Raw genomic sequence first — 19,147 nt, 5'->3', positions numbered from 1 at the left:
TCACTGCAACCTCACTGCAAGTAACTCTCCTGCCTCAGCCTCCTGAGTAGCTGGGATTACATGCATGCGCCACCTCACCCAGCTACTTTTTATATTTTTAGTAGAGACGGGGTTTCACCATGTTAGCCAGGCTGGTCTCTAACTCCTTACCTCAGGTGATCTGCCCACTTCAGCCTCCCTGAAGTGTTAGGATTACAGGTGTGAGCCACTGCACCCGGGTCACCCACTATAAATATTTTCGTAAGAACAATTTATAAACAATATCTGTCACAGCAGTTAAAAAATGTATAATCTTCATATGGACAGCTAGCAAGTTCCCAGCTCTTTTCATGCCCCCAAAAGAGACTGCCTTATTGCCACACCAACCCAGGAAGGGCAAGCCAGAAAAATGACCGAGCCAATCTGACTCCATTATGCTGATATATTGATTCCTGGCAGATCTTGAATGCTTCAGGAGAAGAAAAAAAACCACATTAAGTTTTAGTACCATTTCTGCCACGGTATTTTCTCTCTGACCCTGGCCAAGTTGCATGTTTATTTCCTAGTTTTCTCATTGTGATAGGGACGCTATATCTCTATGTGTTCTCCTTTGCTTTCTTTCTTCTTTTTAACTTTTAATTAATATATAATAGATGAAGATGTTTTCAGGGTAAATGTGATTTTTTTGTTGTTTTTGTTTTGTTATTTTTGAGATAGGGTCTCACTCTGTTGCCAAGGCTGAAATGCAGTGGTGAGATCATAGCTCACTGCAGCCTCAAACTCCTGGACTCAAGTGATCTTCCTTTCTTGGCCTCCCAAGTAGCTAGGACCGCAGGCACATGCTACCATGTCTTTTGTGGAGACGGAGTCTTGCTATATTGCCCAGGTCAGTCTGAAACTCCTGGGCTCAAGCCATCCTCCTGCCTCAGCCTCCTAAAATGCTGGGTTACAGGCATGAGCCAACATGCCCGGCCCACATGTGATATTTTGATACAGTCATATAATGTGTAAAGATAAAACAGGGTAATTGGGATATCACCATCTTAAATAATTATTTTTTCTTTATGCTAGGAACATTTGAATTATTCTCTGCCAGCTATTTTAAAATGTACAATAGAGTATTGTTAACTATAGTCACCGGATTGATCTATCAAACACTAGATCTTATTTCTATCTAACTATATATTTGTACCCATTAATTAGCCTCTCTTCATCTCATCCTCCTTCCTACCCCTCCCAACCTCCAGTAACCATCATTCTACTCTCAATCTTCATCAGAACCACTTTTTTAGCTCCCACATATGAGCAACAACATGTGATATTTGTCCTTCTGTCCTTGGCTTATTTTATGTAACATAATGACCTCCAGTTCTATCCATGTTGCTTCAATTGCAGGATTTTATTCTGTTTCATGGCTTAATAATATTCCATTGTATATGTATACCACATTTTTACTTTTCTAATTTCAAATTTTTTAATTTTTTAGAGACAGGGCCTTGCTATGTTGCCCAGGCTGGTTTCAAACTCCCGGCCTCAAGCAATTTTCCCACCTTGGCCTCCCAAACTGCTGAGATTACAGGTGTGAGCCACTGAGCCAGCCCATATACCCCATTTTCTTGATCTATTGATGGATGCTGTGTCCAAACTCCATTTTCATTTTTCCCTAGACATGCAGCTGGACTGTTTCTTAGTCTTCTTCTTAGTCTTAGTTAGTTGGAGCCACATGACTGATTTTTGGTTAGCAGTGATGGCAGTAGCTGCTGCCATCACACTGCCTGCAGGAGGGGCTGCACACTCCAAGGAGCCCGTGGGAGCTGCGCCCCCTTCTGAGTTGAGGCCAGAGTTCCCTGGGTGTTGCTGCAGCTGCCAGAATGGTGGCTGCAGACCCAGGTCTCCTGCACGAAGGAGCCCCACCTCCTGGGCAAGGCTGCAGCTGTCCAAACTGCCACTGTGGATCTGAGCCTCCCTGTGCTCTTGGAGGGGGCCTGGAGCAGACAGGATCTGCCCTCCCAGGTGCAGCTGCAGCTGCCCCACCCATGGCTACAGACCTGGGCCTCCTAATCCACAGAACAGGCAGGAGCTGGGGACAAGTGGGACCCCCACCCCTTCTGAGTTGGTAGTGTGGGAGCTCCCCGGATGCCTCTGCAGCCACCCTCCCAGGTACAGGGCCAGGCATCTCTGCAGCCTTCACCTTCAGGCCTTGGGAAGGCCCCCCAGTCCCTGCAGGCTTGAGGGGATATGCTTCCACTGCCTGGCCTCTCTTCTCTCCCACCACCTGCTTCAATCTCGGGGTGGGGTTGCAGCTGAGCCAGGGACCAAAAATGGCAGTGGGGAGGTGCACAGATTCCTGGGTGGAAGGGGGCGGTCCCCAGTAAGGCCTCTCCTTCAGGCCAGGGAAGCCTTGAAGGCTGGGGGCCCAGCTGCCAGTCCCACAGACTGGAGCGGGGACATGTGGTATCTCCTCTAGGCCCACCCATGGCCAGTCATGGACCAATCGGCAGGCACTTCCTCCCATCTGAGGTCCATAAAAGCCTAGGGCTCAGCCAGAGTAAAGTAGAGGGCAGAGAAAAGCCCTGGGCTCAGCCAGAGAAGGGCAGAGGACAGAGGACTGAGAGAGGACTGGACAACCAGCTGCAAAGAGGAGCTACCTTCTCTGTGAGAGCTTCAGAGACCTGCAGAGACATTGAATGAACTGCCTGCAGAGAGGAGTCACCCTCTCCAAGGTCTTCGCTCTGCTAAGAACAGCAGACAATGGGGCAACCAGTGGGCAGAGAGGAGCTACCCTCTTCAGAGCCTCCTCTCTGCTGAGAGCTGGACACTTGATTGGATGATCTGCCTACAGAGAGGAGCAACCCACTGTGGATTTTCTCTGAGCTGTAACACTCAATAAAGCTCTTCTTTGTCTTGTTCACCTTCCACTTGTCTGCATAGGCAGGATTTGGCACCACTGGCAGTGACACTGTAACATTTTGGGGGCTCATCTGGGATCTCCAAAAGGGTAAGTAAAAGTGGATCTACTTTCTGTCCTTTCTTTTGGAGTCTCTAAACTCCACAATAGTCAAAATGAAAGAAAAATACCAGGCTTCTGTCAACCAGTTAAAAGCAACTAGTGCAGCTGCAGAACTTAAGACATGAAGGACAGGCTTGCTGGGGAGGGACACTGTCAATCCCCCATCAACCTCAGGTGTTGGGAATGTTGGCTTTGTTCTAACCCAATTTCCCTTCATGGAGGTCTAGCCATCTCATGGGACTGGAAGGAGGTCCTGGGGCAACTGAGGGTATCTGGCCAAGGCTACACTTTGGTGTTATTCAAAGGCTCCTGGACTAACTCCAGTCCCCAACTGCCCATTAGGGTGTCCGCACTAGGACCTTCAGCCTTTCCTATTGTTCTTTTCTTTCTTTCATGGCTATCATGGTTCCTATCTCTTTTATATACGATGTTAAATGTAAAGGATGTTGTTGCAAGCCAGAGATATTACTGGGTGGAATGAGCATTTGGCTTGGTCACCAAAGTGTAAGAGTAGCACAGATGTAGCAAAGTGTGTCTTGGTATCTGTATGTAAATTTGTGGTGAAAATGTTCTTGTAATTTACTTGGTTGCCAACTTAGTGCCAAGCACCTTGAGGCACAGAAGAGAAGCCTTGCCTCAGGAAGGAAGCTTTTCTGTAAACATGAGGGCAAAGGGTCCTAGGTCCCTTATGTGCAGGCCTTCTTTGCCTTGCATGTTAACCTGGATCTTTGCCAACATTGTAGGATTGATTCAGCCCTCCTAGTGGCCATCTCAGGAGAGGTTACAAGGGGCAATCCCAAGGAAATAGGGAAGCAAGCCCCAGAGATACCTCTAGGTACCTCTAGAAATCCTCATTTTAGGCAGGTGCCAGTCTCACTCCTGCCCCTACAACAGATGCCTGATGAATATGGCCCTGTTAAGATCCAGGTGCCCTTTTCTCTTCAGGATTTATTGCAAACTAAGGGGGATCTTGGCAGGTTTTCAGATGGCCCTAATAGGTATGTAGAAGCTTTCCAGAAATTAACCCAAGTAACATGGCATCCTGCCATGAGTTCAGTTGGCTATGAGAGTGCAGAGGTGAGCTCCATATTGTCAAGGAAAAACTGGGGGATGAGTTATGCCTTGAAGAAACTAGAGACATTTGGTCCAACAAAACGAAACAACATTTAAAAAAAACTCTCCTATTTCCCCATGGCCAGCCTATTTGTGTTGATGCTTACCATTTCATAATTTCCTCATTTTGTTGTTGCATGGAGTGAAGAGAACTGACATGCTGTCCAATAAACTTCCTTGTCCTCCTTATGCAAGAAAGGAAATCCTGACTTAATGCGTAGCCACAGAACAAGTTAAAAGTGAAATATCTACACAAATTATTTGGAATCCTTCTGTATGAGAAAGGAGATTTGTCTATTTTCCCACATTTATTCATTTATTGACATCAGTATAGACTCATGGATATTTGTTTTATGGTTGGTTTGTAATCCAATGCTACATTATTTATTTTGTTGTTCAAGTTGTTCCAGCTTTGGACTGGGAGCTCTTTCGATTGGCTTCTGTTTTCTACAGCTAAAATTAGTGAAGAGATAATCTTCTGTTATTTCATTTAACCTTCAACCCAACCTTATAAAAATGTCTTTTTGTTATTCTTGTTTTACAAATAAGGGAGCTGAGGTCGAGAGTTTAATTTATGCAGCTGTTGATTGGCAAAGCCAGGATTCGAATAAAAACAGTCTTTAACCAGCATGCTATGTTACTTTCTGTCAATGTCTTCATTCAAAGACCACCAGGAACACACCTGTAGTTAAACAAGTTGTGTTTTTTTTGCAGTGAGGGAAAATGCATGTACATCTCCCCCTTTTCTGTTTTTTGCATCAGGTTTTGTTGATTGAAGAGTACAAATGTGTGCAACAACGGATTTGTCAAGTGTGGTGGTCACTGCTCGCATTCTGGCTTTGCATCCTAGAATTAGTAAATAACATAAGACAAACATGAGTATAATTAGCAACATTCTTTTTCAATCAAGGAGTGACCCCTCCCCCAGGAGTGGGGGTCTGTCTATCCAGGAGAAATGATCTCGCACACCCTTCCATCCTAATATATGAATCTATTGTGAGTACACCATTTCACATTAAGCTCCAAATCGCTGTCAGATTTTTCTTTCATTTGGACAGAGCTATTAATGAGTCACGTAGTTACGCTATTCTTTATGGAGGAAAAGAGTGAATAACCCCTTTTCAGAATATCCTGATGAAGAGAACTTGAAACAACAGAGAATATCAGAGAGGATATGTCCGGTTCATTCTTTTAAGCTACAAATATTTTATTCTATATCAGGATAATCATGAGCATTGAACCCTGACTTCCTGGACTCAAATCCTGGCTTCCCCAAATACTACTTGTGTGACCTTAACTAAATTACTTAATCTGTCTATGCTGCAGTTTCCTTATCTGATTCTGCCACTTACTAGATGTGTGATTTTCAGCAAATCACTCAGTGTCTTGGAACGTTCCTCATCCTTGGGCGCTCCCCTTCGTCTTTGCAGCGCTTGCTTTCGTTGCCTGGCAACGGGACGCGACACCAGGATTGAGCGTTAAGTGCGTGCTTTGGACGAGCGCATTACTGAGGCGGTTTTGACCGTTGGGCCTTGTCATTTGCTAGACTCACCTGGGTCCCCAGTCAGTGCCCGGCTCCTCCTCCTCCACCTCCTCGGGGCGGCACCTGCGGGGCAGGGGGAGCCCCTTCCACAAACCCGGGTAGGAAAACCAAGGTGGAGCGTTGCCAGATTCAATACAGTACCACATGCGCCGTCAACTTTGAATTTCAGATAAACGAGTTACTTTTGAGTACAAATATAGTATCACACAAAGTTATTCGTTGGTTATCTGAAATTCAGAGTTACCTGGGCATGCTGTGTTTATTTGCTGAGTCTGGCACCCCGGCCCGGGCCGCCTCCCTGTCCACTCTGGCTGGGTCTCCCAGGCATGGGCAAGGGACCTCCTTCTACCTCCTGTGGCAACTTCTTCAGGCTGGAGGCAGCTGTCTCTGTGGAAAGGGGCTTTCGTATGTTGAGCCAAGATGCCTATTGATGTATATGACAAATCACACTTAAAACAGGAGAGATGGGTTATTCTCATCGTTCAAGGAAACAGGTGCTGAGCGAGATGGCAATCCTTGCCCGTGTCCTACCGATATGTCCACAATTCCCAGACAGGTCCTGGACTTGGGCCGACCCTTAGGAGGGAAATTTCATACGGAAAATTTTTATTTCTATAATCTATAGCTTTTAAAATTAATAAAATGTCGTTTAATGTCTCTTTGAATATGTTACTTATACTTATTTTCTATATTTTGTCTGTTTTTTTAAAAATAGTTTTTGAGTGTAAAGTATTTCATTTGTTGTATTTATTGTCTCATTTTCATGGTCTTGCAAACCAAAAATGAAGATTTCTTCCCAGGGCAATCAAGGAAGAAGACTTTCACTCAATTATCAGCTCCCAAAGTTGAACTTCGATTTAAGCTATTCCCTGCATTTTCTACATGAGAAAACATTAGAGATAATGGTCCCTTTCTCATGTTCATCTTTCTGGAGCAGCAGCAGGAGTCTGTTCCCATTTTTATGTTATTTCACTTCAAGTGACATTGAGATGTCTATGCAGTATTTGTGTCTTTGGATTATATCATACTGAAGAAATACAGTGAAGATACTGTGCTCTGAAGTCAGTTACTTTCCTCTGTGTGGTTAAGGCAGCAATGCCAACTCGATAGGGAATTAGGTTTATTTGTGCCACTTTGTTTTCAGTTTTAATGACTGTATTTACATATACATGCATACACATTCCTTTCCCCGCTGCTTTGTATTCCTTTCCCCAGTACAAAAGATGGCATACTGTGTGCAATTTCTGCACCTTGCTTTCTTCACTTCACCCTGTGTCCTGGAGTTCACACCCTACTTTACAGAGCTTCCGCATTCTCTTGTATATCTGCATAATAATCCATTGTGTTGCTCTGCCTCATCAGTCCTGAATTTGATGAATATTCAGATGGTGCTCCAGTTTGACTTTTGAAAATAATGGTGCAAATAACCATGTGCATCTGCCATTTCATATTTTTGCAAGCATATCTTTGTTTTGTTTTTGTTTCTGTTTGATACAGAGTCTTGCTCTGTCGCCCAGGCTGGAGTGCAGTGGCATTTTGTATCTTAAAGGTATTTTCTGACTTTCTTGTACCTGGAAGTCTACTTCTCTAGTAAGATTAGATAATTTTTTCTGAATTATTCTTTTAAATATGCTTTCCAGGTTGCTTATCTTTTCTTCTCTTCCAAGAATGCCTGTAAGTCATAGGTTTGGTCACTTTACATAATCCCATATTTCTTGAATTTTCATTTTTTAAAAATTCTTTTTTTCTTTATTTTTATTTGACTGAGTTAATTTGAAAGAGCAGTCTTCAGGCTCTGAAATTCCTTCTTCTGCTTGACCTAATCTATTATTAAAGCTTTCAAATATATTTTGAAAATCTTTAAGTGAATTTTTCATTTTTAGAACTTCTGTTTTTTAGATATCTATCTCTTCATCTCCTGGATTGCTTTCATGGTTTCTTTGTGTTGGTTTTCAAGCTTCTCTTGGATCTCATTGAGCTTCCTTGCAATCCATACTTTGTATTTTTCATCTGTCATTTCTGAGTGTTCATCTTGGTTAAGGTCTATTGATCCTTAGGTGGTGTCACAGCATTCAGATTTTTCATGGTGCAATAATCCTTACTCTGGTTTCTTCTCATTTGGGGAAGCTGACACTTCTTATTTTTAAATTTATTTTCATTTTGATGGGTTTTTTTCCCACTATTATTCCCCTTCCCCTGGGGGCGTGACTGTGGAAATGTTGGGTAGGGTCTTTTGGTTTTGCTTCTATAGATAGCCAGGTGCACTTTACTCTGCAGGTTTTACATTGAGCTGTGCAGTTTGACCTCCAGGCCAGTAGGCGGTGCCACCAGCCCATTTACGAGAGGGTTAATTGCGGTCACTCTGCAGACCTCTTTCTAATAATGGCCATTGTTGTTATCTCTCCCCTGCCCCTGACGTGGCTCTCTCAAAATCCTATTTGGGTAGAACAGTGACCTTTAAAGGGAGAGAAATTGCAAAGAGCCCATGAATTAGTTGAGGAGCAATTAAAAGCCGGCCATACAGAACCGTCAAACAACCCTTGGAATTCGCCCATTTTCGTCATCCCCAAAAAGTCTGGTAAATGGAGACTTTTGCATGCCTTGCGTGCTATCAATGCTAATTTGCAACCTATGGGGCCCCTTCAGTAGGGGCTCCCCTCCCCTGCAGCGATTCCTTGAGATTGGCCTATAATCGTTATTCACTTAAAAGACTGTTTTTATACTATTCCCCTTGCAGAACAGGACAGAGAAAAATTTGTGTTTACAATACCAGCTATCAATAATGAAAGGCCAGCTCACCGATTTCATTGGAAAGTGCTACCCCAAGGAATGCTGAGCAGTCCTACCATGTGTCAGTATCATGTAAATCAGGCTTTGCTCCCCAGTAGAAAAGAATTTCCTAATTGCAAGATTATTCATTTTATGGATGATATTTTACTAGCAGCCCCAACAGAGCCAGTACTTTTAAAGTTACGTGCCTCTGTCATAAGGAATACACAGTTAAGAGGTTTAATCGTAGCACCTGAAAAAGTACAAATTTCCTCTCCTTGGAAATACCTTGAGTATATACTAACTACCCGGTCAGTAAGACCCCAAAATGTTAAATTAAATACTGGCAACTTACATACCTTGAATGATTATCAGAAATGACTAGGTGATATTAACTGGCTTCGCCCAACCTTGGGCATAACTACTGATAAGTTACAGAACCTGTTGTCTATCTTAAAAGACAATGCTGCCCTAGACTCTCTAGGTATTTAACTCCTGCAGCACAAAGGGAAATTGAAGAGATAGAGCAAGCTATTTCTTAGAGGCAACTAGATTGCATTGATCCATGGTATTCAGTTCAATTATTTGTTTTTCCCACTAAACACACCTCTACAGGGCTAATAGGACAGATGACCCCAGGGCTGTCCTAGGATGGGTTTTTTGCTCACATACTGGGACTAAAACAGTCTCTCCCTATATCCAGTTAGTTAGTAAAGTCATCTATTTAGGCTGCAGACAAGGCAATCTATTACTAGGTTATGACCCTAATATCATCAGAATTCCTTTAAGTAAAAAGCAATTTGAAGCAGTATTGCCCTTATCTATGGACCTGCAAATAGCACTCTCTGATTACACAGGCCGTATAAAGCACGCCCTTCCTGCTGACAAACTCCTTCAGTTCTTATCTCGTACTTCTGTGCTTTCGCCTACAAAAATAGTTCAATCCCCCATACCTAATGCTTTAACACTGTTTATTGATGGCTCTGGTAAAGATGGAAAAGCAGCTGTCTGGTGGAGATGGCATAATTCCCTCACTTGTTCTGGATTTATTAGCACTCAAAAAGTTGAGGTTGGAGCCTTAATATTGGCCTTGGAAACTTTTTCTGCTCAGCCCATCAATATTGTTAGTGACTCTGCTTACTCTGTTTAATTTATTGCAGAACCTTTACACAGCCCTTATTAAGTCCACTCTGGAGCCCACCCTGTGTGCACTTTTTCTCTGACTTCAGCATTTCCTAGGTCAACGTACACATCCTATTTTTATCACACATATTCGAGCCCACAGCTCACTGCCTGGCCCATTGGCATATGGCAATGATCAATCAGACCTACAGGTTAAGACATCATTGCTTGACCAAGCCCCCCAATCACATCAATTTTTTCACCAAAACTGGAGAAACTTATCTAAACAATTTCGACTTTACCCAGAGACTAGCTAAACAAATTATCCTACGATGCCCAGATTGCCAGCTCACAGGTACATCCTCTCCTTCAACAGGTATTAACCCTAGAGGACTAGAACTTAATCAGTTATGGCAAACAGATGTTACACATATCCCTGAAGTTGGAAAACTTAGATATGTACATGTATCCATTGATACCAATTCTCAATTAACGCTCATGCCTTTCCTGTAGAGTCCACCCGATATGTCATTAAACATCTTCTTTTAACTTTTGCATTTACGGGGTGGCCCACAACAAAGAAAACTGACAATGGTCTGGCTTATGCCAGCTCACAATTTCAACAATTTTGTCACACGCGGAACATCCAACATTCCACAGGCATCCCGTATAACCCCCAAGGACAGGCCATAGTAAAATGTATCCATTCCATCCTTAAAAATATGCTCAGAAAACAAAAAAGTGGGAATATGAGTAAGGACCCTGCAACACTACTAGCACAAGCCTTATTTACCCTTAACTTTTAAAATTTAGATGATAAATTTTAATCAGCTGTAGAAAAGCACTTTGCTAAAACCTCTCAAGATGTAAAACCTGCAGTTTTATGGAAAGACGTAAACAGTAATATATGGTGTGGTCCAAATGAATTGTTAACGTTGAGGAGAGGATATGCTTGTGTTCACATTCCCTCGGGTCCTCTCTGGATTCCAGCACGACACATCAAAGCATACCGTGGCGTGGCTAGGACCCAACCCAGTACCAGAAATGAAGAAAATGACCCTACAGGACCAACAGCCCTGGATGATGCAGCTTCCTCGGATGACACACGCCTCAGATATTACCTAGGGGATCCTGAAGAGGATAACTCAGGAGGCCGAGCAAATCCTGCTCTGGACACAGACACCATTCACTCCAGATAATTTGTTGCTTACTATGCTCTCTGTTGTACATCACAACTCGCGTAGTGTATTGATTCTTTTTATGCTCTCACTTTGTCTTTAACCTGTACCTGCTACACTCTGTTGGGCTCATATCTTAGATACGGCTTTCTTTTGCCCTGCCACCTGGGCAGACACCTGCTTCCCAGCCTCTAATAACATAATTGCTTGGCTGGGAGGGATAGATTTACCCGCAGTGGGGGTCCCTCATTAATAGCACACATGGGACTAAGGTGCCAGGTAACACTACATATCACTCTGCTATCCTCCCACTGCATGCAAATGATAAAAGTTCTAACCCTTACTGTGTACCTGCCCAAACACAATTATGGCTACATCATGGCAAAGGAAATGCCTTAACAGCCTTAGTTCCAGGTAGCCTCAAACTGGCAATGCAATCAATACCACTCTCCCAAACATTCCTGCCTGTGCTAAAGAACAAAGCCAGGAAAATAATGGATTCCACTTTAGCTGGGAGGTCTGTCATGGGGAACAGGCTCGTAGCCTCCAGTTAGGCAATTATAACATTTTAGACTGGAACCCCCACAGCCATTTGCAGGGCGATCGTACTGATGTCTGCGTCTATCATGGCATCATGATAGTTTCATAGCCAAGTCCCATTCCCCTATAATTTGGGCTGAAGGGGGGATGGGATATCTCAGACCCCAAGTAGAGTCCGTCCCACCTCAAGACACTTTATGGCACCTGGGACATCTCAGCACACCCCTTACCATCTGGTGTGGGACGTATCATAATTCTAGTCACAACTATACTATGACCGTTTTCCATAATGACACTGATCAGTGCCTGATTTGCACTACCCATCCATATGTTTTCCTTATGGGAGCCAATATTTCTATTACACCCCAAAACTCCACGTTTGTGACCTGAGTGCAGGGACAGGCTTGGTTTGCCTCTTGTATCTCTAATTATATCTAATTTAAATATTCCTAATGTCATGGTATTGAGGAGACAATCTGAGGCTTTCCTACTAGTCAGTTTAACACATGATTGGCAAGGTTCCTCTGCCCTTGACACCTTAGAACGTGCCCTGTTCCAGGTCAGACACAAGAGATTCACAGTTACACTTGTAGCCTTTATAAGTCTCAGCCATAGTCATCCTAGCAACTGCTAGTGTTGCTGTAGCATCTATTACTGAACCAGTACAAACAGCTACTTTTGTAGATGGTTTGGCCAGAAATGTGTCTAATGAACTTCTTTTACAGCAGGGTATAGATAAAAAGATTCTTCACATCTGCAAGCCCTCAAGGCTGGAGTGCAGTGGCACAATCTCGGCTCACTGCATCTCCACCTCCTGGGTTCAAGTGATTCTCATGGCTCAGCCTCCAGGGTAGCTGGGATTACAGGCGTGCACCACCAGGCCCAGCTAATTTTTGTATTTTTAGTAGAGATGGGGTTCACCATGTTGGGCAGGCTGGTCTCGAACTCTCAATCTCAAGTGATCTGCCTGCCTCAGCCTCCCCAAATGCTGGGATTGCAGGTGTGAGCCACCGCATCCGGTCTCGAACAGAAATTCCTTTTTTTTTTTTTTTGAGATGGAGTCTCACTCTGTCACCCAGGCTGAAGTGCAGTGGTGCGATCTTGGCTCACTGCAAGCTCTGCCTCCCAGGTTCACGCCATTCTCCTGCCTCAGCCTCCCAAGTAGCTGAGACTACAGGCGCCCACCACGACACTCGGCTAATTTTTTGTATTTTTAGTAGAGAAGGGGTTTCACCGTTTTAGCCAGGATTGTCTCGATCTTCTGACCTCATGATCTGCCCACCTCAGCCTCCCAAAGTGCTAGGATTACCGGCATGAGCCACTGAGCCTCAAACAGAGATTTCTTAAAGTGGATCCATTACCTACAGTAGCATGCTCCAACTTCATAACTGTTTTTAATCTTACAAACTCCATGAACTTTGTCTATGGTCTCTAATCAAGCATAATGTTAAATTTAGATGTAATTGGCCTTACAGTTTTCATGTTCACAGTGGATTAGATACAGCAGGTCTAAAGAGGTTGAAGGGAAAAAAATATAAAAACCAAAAAGTGACATTAGTGAAAAGAAAGCCGAAAATAGTGAGAAATCAAAATATACAACTAAGTCTGGAATTAAATAGTCAAGGAAAAAACAATCATATACATGTCAGTATCCATTGCACTGTATTTCTAAACTGTGTTCAGAAAACATCTTTTTACAACAATGACCCTACGTGATTAAGAAATCTCAAATTATTTTCAGCATATTCCGATTAAGAAAGTATGAAAATGAATATCATTGTTAGGAAGATGTTTGCTACACGTATTAAAAGTACCAATGCAAAGCAAAATTTTAAAACATCTTAAAATGGTATTTAAAAAACTCACCTTAAGAAAAAAACTTCAGTTTCTGAAAATGGATAAACAAGAACGAGAAAAGCATCCCTTGACATCTGGGAGCTAACGTGACACTCAGAGGACCTCTCCATGGCCTTGTCCTGTGCAGCAGAAAACTGTCACAGAACACCAACTTCAGACAAGGAGCAAGATGAAAACAAGACTACTTCGCAATCATGGACACACAATAAAAGCAGAAAAGCATAAACATTTTTCAAACCACCAAAATGACCACACATCTTCCTATTCTGACTACTATGGGTTAGTGTTGTTTCTTTACCAAATAAAGCTTCAGACTTCTTGTAGTTATTCTTCCTTCTAGAAAAGATTTATCAAGATACTCAATGGTAGAATTAGTCTCATTTCCTGACAGCAACTGCATTAGTCAAGGCCCTCCAGAGAAGCAGAGTCAATAGAATATAAAGAGATATAGAAAAGGAAACTTTTTAGGGGAATTGACTCACATAATTATGGAGGCTGAAAAGTCCCATCAGCTGCCATCAGCAAGCTGAAGAATGAGGAAAGCCAGGGGTGTGATTCAGCCTGAGTTTGAAGGCCTAAGAACAAGGGGAGCTGATGCTGTACTCTCAGTCCGAGGCTAAAGGTCTGAGAGCCCCAGGGCTGGGAGGTAGGAAAGTCTGGTCTAAGCCTCCAAGTCCAAAGGCCCAAGAAACCAAAGCTCCATGTCCAAGGCCAGGAGAAGATGGAGCCCCAGCTCAAGGAGAAAGAGAGAGTAAATTCCTCCTTTTTCCACCTTTTTGTTCTACCTGGGCCCTCAGCAGATTGGGTGATGCCCACTCACGTTGGTGAGGGTAATCTTCTCCACTCAGTCTACTGATTGAAAAGGTCATCTCCTCCAGAAACACCCGCACAGACACACCAAAAATAATGTTTACCAGCTGTCTGGGCATGTAATTCAGTCAAGTTGACACATAATATTAACCATCACGGCATCCAATCCAGAACAAAACCCTGCTTGTTTAAACCCTCTCCAAACTACCTAACATCAGCCCAAATCCTATAATAAATTATTTCTAACACCCTCTTATGAAGCACCACAAGGTCCTCCATGGCATGCATTTTCCCTCACTGCAAAAAAACACAACTTGTTTAACTACAGGTGTGTTCCTGGTGGTCTTTGAATGAAGACATTGACAGAAAGTAGCACAGCATGCTGGTTAAAGACTGTTTTTATTCGAATCCTGGCTTTGCCAATCAACAGCTGCATAAATTAAACTCTTGACCTCAACTCCCTTATTTGTAAAACAAGGATAACAAAAATACATTTTTTGTAAGGTTGGGTTGAGGATTAAATAACAGAAGATGATCTCTTAACTAATTTTAGCTGTAGAAAACAGAATATCTAACCAAATTGGCTTTAAAAATAAATGTTAAAAACCTGTTAACATTTATCTCACATTACGTTAGTTTAAGATGGCCTGAGAGTTTGATGGGTGGTTCGTTGATGTCAAATGAATCCAAGTGCTTCACATCTTTCCACTGTAACCTCATCCTGTGTCCCGAGTGCTGCCACGTGCATGGTTGCAGGATGCTGTGGCCTCAAGTGTCACACCTGCAACACTTCAGTCTTAAAAACTAGGAAGTAAGGAGGACAGCAGCCTTCTCTTACATCTTTCTGTTTTGGGCAGAGAGAAAACCCTTTTCCAGAATTCCTACCAACAAATCTTCCCCTTTTGTCTCCTTCCTGAGAGTCAACATTGTGCTAGCTCCAAGCTGGGATTCTAGAGCTGCATTGTCTGAAATAGAATCCTGGCTCCACCGCTGACTGACTATGTGACCAGGGCAAGTTACTTAAGCCTCACTATATGTTAATTTTTCACTTATAAAATGGGAATAATAGTATCCACATCAAGAGCTGATATGAAGATTGATTACATATGTATGTATATATGTGACAGAGCGCTTAGAACAGTGCCAGACACATGTTAAGTGTGAGTGCTAATTCTTATGATGTGCTATGTCACATGGTCATTCATACAAAGGAGGCTGTGAATGGATGTACGTGGCCTTTTTAGCCTCTTTCTTAGAAGGGAGGCTGTGCTAACAAAGAAGAAATGGAAATGAAAAAGGTTCTTGCATAGGCCAACCGTGTATGCCACTACCTGTAGAGTATTTTGAAGAGTGCTTAGCACAGAGTAAGTTCTAATAAATAATCTTCATTATTTGTCATAATAGTCTTTCCTCATCAAGTGACAAAATACTCTGGAACAAGTGAGCATTTAATAAATAGATCTCCAAATCCAGCAACATTAATGTACTCCTCCTTTATGTGGCCAGCCACATTCCTGCACCGCCCTGCAGACTCCGTGGACACAAGTGGCTATGACTCAGTGGCAGGAAATGATGCCACATGATGCCTAAGGATGCAGGGAGGTCATTAGGCTCAAAGAAAGTGTTTTTGCAGGGACTTGTCCCCATCTGTGGAGATGTGCTGAAGGCCTTACTCCTCCTGCTCAGGCACCTGCCTGCTCAGGCGAGGCACCTGCTATACTTACTCTGCCTCTATGGGGGCCGCCACATTGCTATAGCAAATGGTCCCCAAAAATATCCACTGAGGGAAGAAGCAGGGCAGCTTTCTCTCTCAGTCATCAGTGTTGGTCTGTTTACTCAATTTAATTTCTGAATTTTCTTTATCTCACTATTTAGGTTGCTTGCTCAGCAAATTCCTGATCTATGACTCAGACTCCAGGACCTCAGACCATTGTCTTGAGCTTCAGGCTCTGATTAGTTCATCTCATAGAACTATTTTATTGGTTAAAAAAAAATAGCACACTACGGTGGAAAGCACACTTGACCATCTAGAGTTATGGATTCTAGCTATATCTGGACCACAAATTAAATGTGTGATTAGGTTAAATTAGTTATTCTTTTTTTTTTTTGAGATGGGGTTTTGCTTTTGTTGCCCAGGCTGCAGTGCAGTGATGCGATCTCGGCTCACTGCAACCTCCGCCTCCCAGTTTCAAGCAATTCTCTGGCCTCAGTCTCCCAAGTAGCCAGGATTACAGGTGCCCGCCACGATGCCTGGCTAATTTTTATATTTTTAGTAGAGATGAAGTTTCACCATGTTGGCCAGGCTGGTCTTGAACTCCTGACCTCAGGTGACCCACCCACCTCGGCCTCTCAAAGTGCTGGGATTACAGGTGTGAGCCATCACACCTGGCCAAATCAGTTATTTTTTATTTTATATTTATTTTATATTTTATTTTATATTTATATTATTATTAAAATGATGAGTTCAAACCTGATGAACAAAAGTTTTCTTATTTCTCTATAATTGTAACCTTTGGAGTATATTGCACTCAGTTTTCTAAGGGTCTAAAAAGTCCAGAAACTCTCCGCAGAACTGCGTGTCTCTTGGTTACTTATTAGATAATTTATCTTAAAACATCTGGTCCTCTATTTTTTAAGTACTGAAAAACATAAATTAGGAATATCTGGGCAATATTAACAACTACAACCAAATCTTTGGATTTCTGAGTAATTATAAATTATGCAAAATCTACTTAACTTCATGTTTACTGAACAAAACATTTCGGAAGGTCCGCTCAGCAGGTAAGTCATTAGGCTCATCTTCAGGTAATCAATGACAAACTTATAAATATAGGACATTCAAATTCTTGCATTCCTGGGATAGACATCCACAGAATAAAAAATTTCTGGGTGCAGTTGCCTCAATCCACCTGTCAGAGTGAATTTAATCCTACCACTAATCCACTTCTCTTGGTCTGAAAGACTTCTCTAAAATATAATAGCTGAAAATATAAAAGGAAGTCTTCGTTAATTTCTAACAAAATCATGCCTCATATGAGGTCATGGAGGTAGGTTAGTAGGAAGGACAGATGTTACATAGTAACAAGAAACAGTTCTCTCTTAAGGTGAGCTAACTGTGGTGATCCACCAGAGGCGGTGCTAGAGGGTGCCTGGCAAACAAATGGACACGGTATGATAGAGGGTCTTGGTTGAAGCATCAGATGTGGACCACGAGAACAGTGACAGGGAGCAGGTGCTACTCTAACAAACTTTAGCAACTTTCTGATTGTGCTGAGCAACAGGTCTCCTAACACCCCATTGAGACCAGATGCCAAAGTTGGCATCTCCTAAAGGCAATATTGTTTTTATTGCTATGATAAAAAGTTCACGTTCATTCATTAATATTGTTATTACTTTTCTCTCCTTTCACTCGCAAACAGAAATTACAGGCCTTGAGAAGTTAATGGCCTCTGGCTGTGCACCTGCCTCCAATTAGTACCGAGGCAATAGGTGAAAAATATGTTTGGAAGCATGCAAACCTCCAGGGGCTGGTTAATGCCCTATTAAACCTGATATTTTAGAAAAGTTCTGAGCCATGGAGTTGTATTCTGTTTTTGGATTGTCAACAAGATCAACACCTCTGGCAGTTCAAATAATTGCCTGGCCCAAGAGGCTGAATAAATTAGAAAAGTTAAAAAGAAGTAAAAAGTAACGCTGACAAGTTCCTGCAAACAAAATAGCCTTTCAGGCTCACTGATATGACAAACTGAGCCTATGAAGAGCAGCAAAATTAAAAATCAAACTGCAGATTTAAAACAGAATATTTTGTTTTAAAAGTCTCCACAATAAGCTTTTTAGAAAAGATAACTTTAGAGTTATAAAAGAGTTGCAAAAATAGCACAGACTTCCCTTCTGCCCTTTATGCAGTTTTCCCTTATGTTAATATCGTACATAATAATAAAATAATAATATTTTACATATTGTACATAATAATAAAATAAACGAAGGAATTATCCTTGGTATGATACTCCTAGTAAATATAGAACTTTTTTTGAATGTCACCAATTTTCCCATCAGTTCTCAGCTTCAGGATCCAATCCAGGATTGCACTTTGGATTTAGTTGTCCTGTCTCCTTTGTCTCCTCCAACCTGTGATGGTTCCTTAGCTCTTCCTTGTCTTTGTGACTCTGACACTTTTGAAAGGTGCTCATCAGTTATTTTGCAGAATGCCCCCTCAATATGGGTTTGTCTGAGGTTTTCTCATCAATAGATTGAGCTCAAGCACTGTTGGGAAGGATGCCACAGATTGTGTGCTCTTTCCAGTGCACCCTATCAGGACGTTCTTGATGTGGATATATATGTACTTTGGTTATTTTAATCTTGATCACTTTACTAAGGTCATGAAAAACGTTTTATCGTTATTTTTGTAGGTGAAGAAAGAGAGGATTAATGAGAAAAACAAATTAGACGGCATAGCCTAGATGCAGAAAGTCTAACTCCAAAATTCATGAACCTTCCAAAATTTACCATGTTGTCCCTCTTCACTTGGAACTCTAGTGACACACAAAGATGTATGTTTTTTCATTTGTACTTCCTCTGCTAAGATCTCTAAGTGAGGGGAAAGGACTAAGCCGTTGTCTATTATTTGTTTCCGTGTTCTTTCAAAGCTCTAGAAAATACGTGAGCATAATTCAAGTAAAAATGTTGGAAGCTTAAAATTTGTGGTCTGTTGGTGTATTAAATATTAAATATCAATGTCATGTGCTTTCTCCTGAGCCAGACATACGTTTTCTGAAGGTCTTGGACAAATATAATTTTGAGTAATGGTTAACAAAAAAATAACAATGCTATGAATGTGGGTATTAATATCTTCATTATTGAGATATCTGGACATTGACAGACTGAGAAACAAGATTTTCTAGAAAAAATTTCCAACAAAAATTTCCAGAGAAAGTTCAAAAATTTCCAGAGAAAATCACTCATAATCTTGAGATAATGATTGTGTTAGGCTCTAATAGTGGAAAAATGGAATAAATTTTCCTTACTCTGTCTCACTCCCCTTTCTCTCCACATCAATTCTATACTTGAGATAACTATGTCCTTAGAAATGTGTCACATATAATGGACCTTATATTTTGTTGGAAAGAATTTTAGTCAGTATTGTAAAAATATCATCCAGAATAATCTAAATATCTGGTATTTGGGGCTGGGGGCGGGGGTAGGGTTGAACTCTTTTTATTATTGTTA

At 41.9% G+C, this 19,147-nt stretch overlaps 2 long non-coding RNA genes across 4 annotated transcripts, besides 2 other annotated features; one reads left to right on the top strand and one right to left on the bottom strand.

The window, feature by feature from the left end:
* The first annotated feature begins 2,534 nt into the window (after positions 1-2,534).
* Positions 2,535-19,074, top strand: LOC124902872 (uncharacterized). 2 transcript variants are annotated; one of them, XR_007063203.1, is made up of 3 exons: positions 2,535-2,977; positions 4,246-5,743; positions 18,331-19,074. It is a non-coding gene; the product is annotated as an uncharacterized LOC124902872 (long non-coding RNA). The 2 variants fall into 2 exon arrangements; XR_007063202.1 differs by lacking the exon at positions 18,331-19,074 and having other exon boundaries at positions 4,246-6,310.
* LOC105369645 (uncharacterized) lies at positions 4,398-5,980 on the bottom strand. 2 transcript variants are annotated; one of them, XR_007063201.1, is made up of 4 exons: positions 5,890-5,980; positions 5,655-5,801; positions 5,455-5,548; positions 4,398-4,948 (listed from the first exon to the last, which is right to left on the bottom strand). It is a non-coding gene; the product is annotated as an uncharacterized LOC105369645 (long non-coding RNA). The 2 variants fall into 2 exon arrangements; XR_931342.3 differs by having other exon boundaries at positions 5,655-5,895.
* Positions 5,191-5,822: an enhancer, noted in NCBI's record as "H3K4me1 hESC enhancer chr12:8717245-8717876 (GRCh37/hg19 assembly coordinates)". NCBI's record gives its function as "activates a minimal SCP1, AML or CMV promoter by ChIP-STARR-seq in naive H9 embryonic stem cells {active_cell/tissue: H9 hESC(naive)}" and the evidence as "EXISTENCE:reporter gene assay evidence [ECO:0000049][PMID:30033119]".
* Positions 6,457-7,089: an enhancer, noted in NCBI's record as "OCT4-NANOG-H3K27ac hESC enhancer chr12:8715978-8716610 (GRCh37/hg19 assembly coordinates)". NCBI's record gives its function as "activates a minimal SCP1, AML or CMV promoter by ChIP-STARR-seq in primed H9 embryonic stem cells {active_cell/tissue: H9 hESC(primed)}" and the evidence as "EXISTENCE:reporter gene assay evidence [ECO:0000049][PMID:30033119]".
* Positions 19,075-19,147: the final 73 nt, after the last annotated feature.

The sequence above is a fragment of the Homo sapiens genome, chromosome 12 (assembly GCF_000001405.40).
Source record: "Homo sapiens chromosome 12, GRCh38.p14 Primary Assembly".
In the NCBI taxonomy this organism is placed as follows: Eukaryota; Metazoa; Chordata; class Mammalia; order Primates; family Hominidae; genus Homo; species Homo sapiens.
Note: the sequence above shows the minus strand (reverse complement) of the source record. Positions and strands in the feature narration are given on the sequence as shown.